The sequence below is a fragment of the Homo sapiens genome, chromosome 5 (assembly GCF_000001405.40).
Source record: "Homo sapiens chromosome 5, GRCh38.p14 Primary Assembly".
Lineage (NCBI taxonomy): Eukaryota > Metazoa > Chordata > Mammalia > Primates > Hominidae > Homo > Homo sapiens.
This window is the reverse complement of record NC_000005.10, coordinates 127,358,236-127,370,512: the sequence shown is the minus strand read 5'-3', so window position 1 is coordinate 127,370,512 and position 12,277 is coordinate 127,358,236. Positions and strand designations below refer to the sequence as shown.

Sequence of the window (12,277 nt, the reverse complement as noted above, 5' to 3'; positions counted from 1 at the left end):
CTAAAGTTATCTGAACAAGTACTCGTTATTTGCATCTCAGAATTCAGAGACAAAAAGATATGTTAGTGTCAAAAATGCCAGTTTCACTTCTGAGTTAAAAACCAACAGGTGGTAAATTTTAATCACCAAGAGATTTTCTTAGAGAAATCAACAGGTAAAAACAGAAGTTAGGATACAATAGCTATGTTACCACAACTGCCTTACTGAGGTAAGGAATCTAAATTGTGGACCCTACTCTAGAAAATGCATTCATATCCACAGAAGTATGAGCTGTTGTATGATCACTGAAATTTCCTTCTTTCCAAGAACTTTTCTTTATACTTAATTAACGAATAATGTATATGTACATGTACAGATTTAAAAGAAACTGTATGACTGAGTTGGTCGTGGCATTTACACTATGCTCTGTGTAGGGATGAAGAGGGAAAGCATGGCTCAGGGTCATCTGCAGACAAGGAGGGCCTTACAGCAAAAACATCCCGAGACAGACAACAGCAGGTGGAAACTTACCACTGGAGCAGTTGGTCCCTCCCCAGCCAGGCTCACACTGACAGGTGTTTGGAGCAATACAGCGACCATGGACACATTTATCAGCACAGTGGGCTGTCAGAGAGAAAATCAATCAAATAAAGAAAGTTGGCACAAGAAAAAAAAGCCAACAACACAGCTGTTGCACATCCAAGTCTCAAGTATCACTTAAAAACAACATGCATGCTTGATAATTTTCTTCAGTCCGTTCCTCAGCCCTCTTACAGTCTGCTGTAGGACCAAACAATTCCCCTTCTTATTTTGGTATCACCAAATAAATCCCATCATTTCTACTATTCTATTCTACTTCATGCTAAATTAGAAAAGAAGTTTCAAGGAAAATTGCCTAATTCACTCTTTAAAAAAATTATCAGTGAGTATCAAATATTCCTTTTTGTTTCAGAAGAAGCCTATATAGAGAAACGAAACACAAAGCAAGATATCAGGGCCTCAGAGTGACAGAGTAGATGGGGAGTATTATGATTATGTATTATGATTTTTTTTACATAATACATTCACCAGAAACAATAGTCACACTTCTTTGTGAACACGTTGTTCACAACTATGACACAGCAGAATTGCTTGCTCTTTTTCTGTTGAGGAGAATATTTGAAAAATGCCACCCAGGTCTTTGGGAAACAGTAAATCTCAATCCTCTTTCATTAGTAAAGATCTTAGGTGTACTCAACCCTTGGAGACAAAAGGGGCATCACTGCAAACATGAGTGAATGGACAGTCTGATGATTTCCAAAATAGGCATTAAAATATGCTGTGCCAAATCATTATCATCAACCTTAGTACCATGCACATCAGTTAAACATTCTTTAAAATATCTGGATATATACATAATTGTGAGAACGACTTAAAGGGTTTGGGGTTCGGATATTCTAAAATTTTATTTAAGGGTGGGATGAGGTGCTCTGTACTTTAGAGATGCATTTTATTAGTGTATGTCTTATTACAAAAGACTTACTGCTCAAATATATAAAACACCAAAAAGTAAAATAAGCCTTATCTCCAGTAGCTCAAACTGGTAACATTTTTGTGGATGTAGAACCTTCAGAAATTTTTTTCCTACATATTTTTCTCCTCAAAAAAATAGAATCATATTTTTCAATGTGCTTTTTCCACTTAATATAATGGCAGTAATATTTCCATGTCATTAATATTAATATATGTGATTTATGCACTAAGGTGTATATTTAATATGTGTGTATATATGTATATACACACGTGTGCACACACTCACAGTGCATATATTGCTGAACCAAAAATGACTACTTCTAAGGTCTTGATCATAAGATTTAGAGATGAAGATATATAAGGGAGGGCATTTTAGGTGAAGAGAAAGCAAAAGCAACAGGTAAAAAGAGAAACAAATGAAATAAGTTCTGTTGGGTGCAGTGTTTGGGGCAATAGCTTTGCAAGGTAGAGAGAGAGACCCTGAAAAACAAATTAAGGTGTTGGGGCTTTATTGTGAGAATTCGCTAGGAACAGTTTAATGAAAAGTATACATTTGTTATAAGAAACCAACAGGGAGAGGACACCACAATGAAATAAAGTGGCCATAAATTTTGGAAAACACAAGCTCTCTTGCTATCATCAGAACAACTCTTTAGCACCTAGGCGATTTAGTGAGGAATACCAGGACTGGTGACCTTGGGACCCTGGTCCAGGGTAGAGTTTTCTGGTACTAGAGTTTGAAGGAAGTGCTTAGCAACCTCATAATATTTGAGTCAGACAATTACATATTTCATTGCAATTAAAAGCAGAACTTGCCTGTAACATATGAACACACTGGCCCTGCACTATTTTGATTTTTGCTGCCAAGTTAAGTCAGTATGTGCCAACTTCAGGGTTCAGTGTCTGCTTCCACCTGTAGGTATGTGTTTGAACTTGTAGATGTCATTCATTTGTAAGCACAAGGTACTGGTCTTTTGTTAAAATTTAGATATGTACATACCTAAAGCCAGCAAACTACCATACTTGAGTGTGGGAAGTTCAACTAAATGTCACAGTAGGCTTGGGTCTAACAGTGCAGGGTATGCTCTGGATGCTATCTCACACTGTGTTAAATGGCAGCATGGGTACAGGAGACTCTCCCACCAGTGAGAGCTCTGGCACCAACTGTAAATATGTCAACACGAGAGGGTTTTGCCTCCCACTTGTCTTAGGTACTGATGGCATCTATGTTTGCAGCTATTACAGTGAATAGCCTTCAGACCCAAGTTTACCAATTCTCCTTCTTCAACATAGTAAAGCTACTAAAATTCTGTTTGAATATTTCCAGAAGTTTTAAAAATTAGATACTCTTTGCCTTTAAAGTGAAACAAGACTTCTTTGACACCGTGCATTTAAACCAAAACACAGAAATTGAATGTGGTGGCTGATGAAAGGAAGTATTCTCCATATTCTTGAATTTCAGACTTTTGTGTTTAATAGTGTAGTTCTCACCAATTAACTTCATACTAAAGAAATGTTATAAATGTTCATTTATATGGTAAATTTATATTAATACTACTTAAATTGTTTTTATATCTTGGGCATCTATGTAAGATTTTATTTGACAAAAGGATTAATATTACCATTTGAGAATTTGAAAACTTCTGGGTACTCAAAAAGCTGGATTCCATCAGAGCAACCTAGAGTTTTGTATTCATCTAGCAAGAAGCTGGCTATGAGGGGAGAATATTTCCAGTATTCTATGGACAGGTCTCAATTCACTGCTCTCCCTTTCTTCTCTATCCTTTCATTTTTTTCACTTTTTATCTTCATTTTCACTTTTTACCACTCGTCTTTCTCTTCCACACACTACTTATTTGATATACACCATAGAAGCTGGAGATTAAACTTTGGTTTTAATTGTAGTTGTGTTGACTCTTAACTCCAGGATGACACCAATTGAGTTCCACCTGAATCAACTGGTAAGAAAGGTAAGATTGAGCAAGCCAGCCTAGCACCCTGCTCTAATATCAAGATAACTTATTAGATTGGGTAAATAAATGCATGACAAGTTAAGCATATGTTCCAGAGAAGTAAGAATCAGAATTGCATATGGTTGGATCCCAATCCATTGGTTTTTTGTTGCTTTTATTTTGTTAACTCCAAAAAAGATAATAAGTAAATTTCTAAGTTCAGAATCAAAGGAGACCTGCTTCAGAATGCTTTGAGATTGCTAGATAATCACACAATGTTCTCATGCGTGATTCCTGATAGTGCAAACTTTGTGTTTTATGAAATGAATTCCAAGAAGTTCAGTCAATTGTAATAATTTTTTAAAAAAATCCGTGATGGTAATTTTAAAATATGGATTACATTTATGAAAACCTTGAGCTAACATTTGGCCAAAGTCTGAAACAAAATGTGGATGCGTCATTAGCAGAAAACAAATTTGCCTGTAAGTTAATTAGGAATTGGAAGGGGGAATCTGCTTCCCTAATGATTTCTTTTTTCTTAATTAAAGCTAAAGCCAATGGAATCACCTCTGAGCATTGATGCCTAAAGGCAAATAATGATCTAAATGATGAGAAATATTGTTGGGATGGAGTCTAAAAGGAAAGAACACAAAATCCTACTTCCATGATGGAGAATCTTCACACATTAGACTCGCTTATACAAGTGCCATCTCTGCTGCATGCCCTTTTCCACCATCTCTGGGCTCTCCACATCCAGCAACAAACCTCGTCAAAGATGGAAAAGAGCAAAGGGAAGCAACAGAGGAAGGCAGAGTAAGCTATAGAACTCTCTTTATTCTCTGATGTCCCAACTCACCAAGGTGCAGAAACACTGACTATGGCACATTCATGACACAGACGCCCACACCACCACCAAGAGATTAGCTGAGCTCAATTACTACCTTGGTCTTACCTCCCCTATTCAGCTTCAAATGCCACCTACTCTGGGTGCTGCTTCTATAACTAACATGCTCCACATGAAAAACCAATATAGGCTAAAGACATTAATTGTTCATGTAGAAAACCCCAAAATGAACTAGAAAAGAAAAAAGGGAACAGAGGTCCACTTAGCAGATGTTCAGTAGCAGAGATATAAAGAATAGGTACAAAGGACCCATTATAAGTGTGGTTGTCCCATGAATGGGAATAGATATTTTATTCCCTACCCATGTCCTTTCTTCTTTTTTTAAAAGGGCAATTAAAACTAGAATAACAAGCAAAGATAATCTATCCAATATGATTTCTTTTCTGCACCGATCTTTAAGAAAATCATTAAAGATCATATTCTGAGTCCAGATCTTTTTTAGAGGCCAGATATAAGCTGAATCTCAACCTACTCTCAGTATGCTCCTTCAGACACAGCAAGCTGCACAGGGCAGCCAAGACGTCTTTTCCCTCAAGAACTAGGAGGCAAGAGACACTGATGAGAAGAACAGGCCATGTCTTTGAAATGAAAGCTGTGGACAGTCTGTCTGCCTGATGGACAGGTGGGCACTGACATGATGACCCTGGAATCTTCTCTAATTAGGCTCCTGTTTCAGTCTCAGTTCCTAAATCCATTTAAATCCCATTACCAATGACATGGACCTCATTCCTTTTACTTGTAAATACTTGGCTTTAATACTGAGAGCCATTAACTATACTCAATAGTTTTTCTTCTGCCACATACAATTCCCTTTGGATTTTCACCTAGGGATGGCAAAAAAGTGAAAGGAGGAGTAGAAAGACTAAAGCCTTCTTTATAAATCAATTATATCTCTAAAGAGAGTATATACCATTGTCTTAAAGAATATATTTATTTAAATTAATATGGAAAATGTTTTCAGAATCAAAATAGTTTTTTAAAGGAACAATTATCCAACAGAAACACAAACCTTCCAGCTAACCTATCTGTCACCAGAAGTTCCTTTTATTCTGACGCTATGAGCAAAGAGTGTAAGTCACAAATCTTATTTTCTCTCATTTATTCAGTGAGTTGCTACAGAGGAATATAGAGTTTTAGAGTTAAAGGTGCCTTTACTGAGCATCATTCCTACATTTTTCAGACAAGAAAACAGATCAGGAAAATGGGTAATTTCCCCAATATTCATAGTTGGTATTAAAGACAGAAATAGGATTAAACCCTGGTCCCTGACTCCCAGTGGACCAAAACATAAGATGGATTTTAATGGGAGTGAGAGGGAGTAGGGGTGAAAAGGATGATAGAGGGTGTTCTGGGTCAGATACCATGGCAGGTGTACTAGATGGCCAGGAGTCAGGAGTCAGAAGATTCGAAGGAGGAAGGAGAAAGAAGCAAACAGAGAGTTGACTTCCAAGATATACTTTATCTTCCCCACACTTTTATCTGAGGACAATTACATGCAAAGTCCTTACAAAATTACAAAGTGCACAGGAATCGTTTTGCTTTCATATTTCCAAACATTATATTGCAGCCTACCCTATTGTGTTTGCTTATAAAAAGGAAAGGGAATTCTCTTTTTCTTCAGTTTAATATGTACTGATGCACTAGGTACACTGATAGGCACTACTGTGTATATTAAGATGGCAGACTGGGAACTCTTAGTCTGTAAAGGAAATCTGATGTAGATCCATCAAACTCAATAAATGCAGAGTAGAATCCAGGGATAATAAGAGAGGTTTCAGAAAAATACTGTGAGAGCATATTGAATGACTCAATTTATTTGAAATGTCCAAATGGACAATTCCATATGGATAGACAGGATATTAGTTGGTTGTCTAGGGCTGTGGGTTAACGTGGATTGATGGGTAGTAGGTACAGGGGTTGTATTGAGATGATGAAAATGTTCAAAACTTGATTATGTGATGGCTGTACAACTTTGTGAATATACTAAAAATGGTTGAATTGTACACTTTAAATGGTTGAATTGTATGGTATGTGAATTACATCTCAACAAAACTGTTATAACAATACTGTGGGGACTGTGGAAGCAGTTAATTCCAACTGGGGTGAGATCAAGGGGATCTCATGAAAGATAAAACATCTGAGCTGAAAAAGTGGATATCTTTGAAATAATGTTGCAGGGAGGAGTGCCCAAAAACAGCTGCTTCACACACTTTTTTCCTTGCATCCCATCCCTGAAGTTCCATAACGTTTTACTTGGGGTCAAGGGCTCTTACCCCACAGCCACCAGTGGTCCACATGTGTGATGTCCATAAATGGCTGATCAGTGGTGGAAAGAGCTTGAGAATGCTAGGAACCTAGATGTTTGCACTTAGTAAATGTAATAATAATAATACAAAAACTTTGTATCTATAAGTCTTTTCTCTCCATTCCTTATAGGGCTTTCGTGTCATTTAAGGGCAAGTACAAAGAGCTATTACTGGCAGTATCTTTGGCAGACATTGCCAATTGTACACCCAATGTCTAACCTTCAACCTTTATTAACAGAATCTTACTTGTACCAGGGCCAGCAGTGACGTCAGCAATAAACTACATTTATTGTCCCTCTTTCTAGATTGAAATGCCTATGTGGAAAACAGTTTCAAGAGACAGATTCAGGTGGTAAGTGCGACTCCCCTTCTCTTTCTCCTTCCTGCTGCCCGGTGTGAAGACATGGCTGAATCTGCAAAAAGCACCAGGCAACTCTGAGGGAAGGACCAAGAGAATCATGGAACCCTTCACTCTGAATTCTTTGCATGGATAAATAAGTGCCATAAACCACCCACTTCCAGACTTATCATGACATAAGGATCCTTATTATGTATATGTTTCTATTTTTCAAATCTCTATTTATTGCAGTAAAACATGATTTGTAACTAATACACTGCTCTTTTGAACGATCTTTCAGGTGAGTCAGTTACTAAATTAAATAAAAATCTATACTAGCAGAAAAATGGAAGACCCATCTATATAAGGAGGAGATACAAGAACTCAGAACTTCTGCCATACATTTTAAGTAAAGGTGTCACGACCTAGTGCAAGTGGGATGACCAAAAGATATGAGGGGAATTAGAAATCTGGCCATTAGATACATACCTCATTCTCTCCCTGAAGCATCATTTTGCCTCAAATTACAATGTGAGAACAGTTAAATGTGGATACTATAAACCCCAAAACAACCACAAAAACAATACAACTAACAGTTATAGCTAGTAAGCCAATGAAGAAGATAAAATAGAATTATAAAAAATATTCAACTTAAAGTAAAAGTATAAAAGAGAAAAATGAGAACAAAAAACAGGACAAGAAGAAATCAAATCTAACTACATCAATAATCATATTAACCATAAATGGTCTAATATCTAAATTAAAAGACAGATATTAACAGATTGGATTAAAAATGTAAGACCTAACAATATGCTGCTTATAAGTACAAGAAACACACTTGATAAAAACGCAAATATTTGGCCGGGTGCGGTGGGTCACGCCTGTAATCCCAGCACTTTGGGAGGCTGAGGCGGGCGGATCACGAGGTCAGGAGATGGAGACCATCCTGGCAAACACGGTGAAACCTCATCTCTACTAAAAATACAAAAAAATTAGCCGGGCGTGGTGGCAGGCGCCTGTAGTCCCAGCTACTCGGGAGGCAGGAGAATGGCGTGAACCTGGGAGGCGGAGCTTGCAGTGAGCCGAGATCGCGCCACTGAACTCCAGTCTGGGTGACAGAGCAAGACTCCGTCTCAAAAAAAAAAAATAATAATTTTTTTTTAAGTAAAGGTATGTAAAAAAAAAAAAAAACCATACTAACGCTAATCAAAAGAAAGCTGGAGTAGCTATATTAATATCAAATGAAGATTCCAGAACAAAGACTATTATTAGAGATAATGAAGGTCACTTTATAATGATAACATGTTCAATTCATTATAATGAAATAATAATCCTAAACATTTATGCATCTAATAACAGTTTCAAAAACTGCAATGAGAAATAGATACAATTAAAGCAGGAGATTTGAATAACTAGTCTTAATAATTGATAGAACTATTAAAAAGAAAATAAGAAAAGATATAGTAGATTTGAAACTAAAAACCAACTTGATGTAATTAATATTTATAGTACGCTCCACCCAATAACAGCAGAATATATTTGCTTTTCAAGAACATACAGAACAATAATCAAGTTATATTCTATGAAATAAAACAAATCTCAATCAATTTTAAAAGATTCAACGCATGCAAAGCAGTTTTCTAACCATAAGGAAATTTAGTTAGAAATCAGTAACAGCAAGATATCTGGAAAATCCTTCTAAATATTTGGAACTGAATAACATACTTCTAAATAACTCAAAGTCAATGAAGAAATCAAAAGATATATTAATCAGAAAGTATTTTAAAGTAAATGAAAACAAAATCACAACATGTCAAAATTGTCAAATGCTCTTAAAGCAGCACATAGAGGAAATTTTATAGCACCAAATGCCTACATTATGAAAGAAGAAAACTCTGAAATTATCTCAGCTTCCACCTTAAGAAACTAGAAAACAAAGATCAAATTAAACCCCAGTGAAAGGGGGAGTAAAAGAAATAATAAAAATCAAAGCTGAAATCAATAAAATAAAAAACAGAAAAGCAAAAGAGAAAATCAACAAAAGTAAAACCTAGTTCTTTGAGAAGATCAGCAAAACGGATCAACTTCTAACTATACTTACCAGGAAAAAAAGAGAGAAGACACAAATTACTGGTATTAGAAATGAGAGAAGTGATATCGCCATAAAATCTATAGATTTTTTTACAGGTAAATGTTAATAAAAACTTTATGCCAATAAATTTGATAACCTAGATGAAATGAAGAAACTGCTAAAGCTTATTCAAGTAGAAATAAATAACCTGAATGGACCTATATATTTTAAAGCAATTAAATTATAGTTAAAAGCTTTCCCATTTTAAAAAACCTCCAATTCCAGATGGTTTCAATGATGAATTATACCAAGAATTAAAAGAGGAAATAATACCAATTCTAAAAAAAACTTATTCCAGAAAATTGAAGGCCAGAGACTACTTCCCAGCTTCCCAACTGTGAGGCCAAAATTACCTTAACACTAAAACCAGAGACATTTGCAGTAAGAAAGAAACAAACTACAAACAAGTATCACTCACATAGGTGCAAAGATTCTAAACAAAATTTTAGTGAATTAAATCCAACAATATGTAAAAGGATTAAACTTTATGACCATGTGAGGTTTGTTCCAACATATATATATATATACACACACATATATATACACACATATATATGTTCCTTCATACATATATATATAACCTATATATATAGTTCCTTCATATACATATATATAACCTAAGTAGACCTGAATGATACAATAATCACATATATGGTTATTTCAAAAGATGCCTGCATTTAGCAAGCATTTAGAAAAATGTATTTATTCCTAACAAAAAATTTCTGCAAACTAGAAACAGAAGGGCGTTTCCTCAACCTGATAAAGGGCAAATATGTAAAACCTACTACTAACATAGTCAATGGTAAAAGAATGAAATGCTTTCCTCTAAGATTAACAACAGAACAAGGATTCTTGCTCTTACAATTTCTATTCAGCATGATACTGGGGGTTCTAGCAAGTGTAATAAGGCAAGGAAAAGAAATAAAGCTTATATAGATTAGGAAGGAAGAAGTAAAACTGCCTTAATTTACAGACTATGTAAATATATGTATTTAGAAAATCTAATGGAATTTACAAAAAAACTACTAAAAAAAGAGCACTTAACAAAATTACAGATAAAAGTCACTACGCAAAACCTCAATTATATTTCTATATATTAGCAACAATCAGAAATTGAATAGCCATTTACAATAACCTCAAAAAATATGAAATACTTAAGGACAAATCAAGCCAAAGATGTGAAGGACCTGTACACTAAAAACAAACAACATTGTTGAGAGAAAGTAAAGAAGAATTGAAAAAAGCTGTCAATCAATTTGATCTATTTGACATTTATAGAACACTTTACCCAACAACAGCACAATATACACATTATCTTAAATAGTGAGACAGCACTTGTTTGTGAGTCAGATGACTCTATTAATAAGATATCGATTCTCCTCCAATAGTTGTATAGATTCAAAGCAATACCAAACATTTCCAGATTTTGGCTATTTCAAATAAAGTATCTCTGAACACTTCTGTATCAACTACCAAGTGGTTCAGCCATCCAACTCCAGGTATTACCCAAGAGAAATGAAAGCATATGTATGCCCATACAAAGATGTGTACATAAGTTTTCAGAGAAGTTTTATGTGTAATTGTCAAAAACTGGAAAAAATCCAAATGTGCTAAGTACATGAAAGTATAAATTGTGGTATAGCTATACAATAGAATCCTACTCAGCAATAAAAAGGAATGAGCTAACAGTGCATAGGGCAATGTCATAAATCTCAAAATGATTATGATGAGTAAAAGAAATCAGATATAAAAGCGAGAATACTCTATGAGTCCACTTATATAAAGCTCTAGAAAATACGAAGCAATCTAGAGTGACAGAAAGCTGATCAATGGTTGCCTGAGCAGGGAGGGGTGGATAGGAGAAATTACAAAAGGGTATGAGGAAACATTTGTATGTGATGTATAGGTTCACTATCATAATTGAGGTGAGGGTTTAAGGGTTGTGTACATATGTCAATATTTATCAAATTGTACCTTTTAAAATGTGCAGCTTATTGTATGTCAATTTTACCTCCATGAAGCTGTTTAAACAACAAAAAAAAACCCTAGAGTAAGAGGAGAACTTTTACAGAAAGGCAAAGAGCCCTCTCTCCATAGAGAAAAAAAAAAATCTGAGCTAACACTCAAATCCTCTATGTACATACTATTCAATTTAACTAAGAGTCTGTCATCACTGGAGGGTAGAGCTCTTTAAATGCCTATGAAGGTATTGGCTTTAGACCCTCCCAATAAATATTTATTTGGGGAACTGCTAATACTAAAAAATGACAATGTGATGTTCTACTAAGCTTTTCCTCTACAAAGTAATTGACTCATACAGAAAAAAAAAAAAACAAAACAGCTTGTGTTGAAATAGTCTGTTGTAATGGATCCCACACAAGGGATTGAAATACCATCTGTGGGGCACATAATCCTATTCATTTATTTGAAAACAGAAAGAGTTTTTAGCTTAATTCCACACTTACATAGGCATTATCTATTCTGGCCACAACTCTCACAGTGTGTCTCTATAGGTTGAGTCAGATTTAAGTAACGTAAGTAACATGACCTTAATGGACTAAAACATCAAAATGTTAACCAGCACTGGAATAAACTCTAGTTTTCCTGAGCACAAATTCCTAACAACTGAACCTACAACAGGTCTGATGATACAACTGCAAATTGATTCAATTTGAGAAGGATTTCAAAATCGTCAGCATATTGTTTAGGGAAGAAATCAGAAGGAAGGTACCTTCATTTGGGACAAATTATTTACCAGCTGGTCCTGCCATGTCTGTGTCTATAAGGAAAGCATGACGCTTCTATGCACAGGAAGTGCCATCCCAGGCTCTTCTGTTTTTAGAATGGCATTTCTCTTGCCCTGACCACTCTCTATGGAGCCATAAATTCTTTTACAAATATTGTTTCCCACAGCATGTTTTCCACCACATGGCATTTCCCCTGGTCTGCCCTATTTCATCTTGCTGTCATTTTGCTTCCGGTTATCCAATACATCTGAATCACATATGAATAATAAAGGCCAGCCCTAGAGAAAGTTAATAGGGCAGTGGAAGTCATAATTAGAGTACCACTTTTCCCACTCAGTTTCTTTTGCCCCTTCTCCCTCCTTAGTGGTGGTCCCTGGACATTTCCTCTAGAACTCTGGTGCCCTCATGT

The 12,277-nt window shown here is 35.5% G+C and overlaps 1 protein-coding gene across 6 annotated transcripts in view; it reads right to left on the bottom strand.

The window, feature by feature from the left end:
* The window catches only part of MEGF10 (multiple EGF like domains 10), a 231,923-nt gene that overhangs the window by 90,710 nt on the left and 128,936 nt on the right, over positions 1-12,277 (bottom strand). For all 6 annotated transcript variants that reach the window (XM_017009987.2, XM_011543694.1, NM_032446.3 and 3 more), the window contains one exon: positions 511-603. In XM_017009987.2, coding sequence (XP_016865476.1) covers positions 511-603 — 93 coding nt within the window. The remainder of the gene's footprint in view (positions 1-510; positions 604-12,277) is intronic.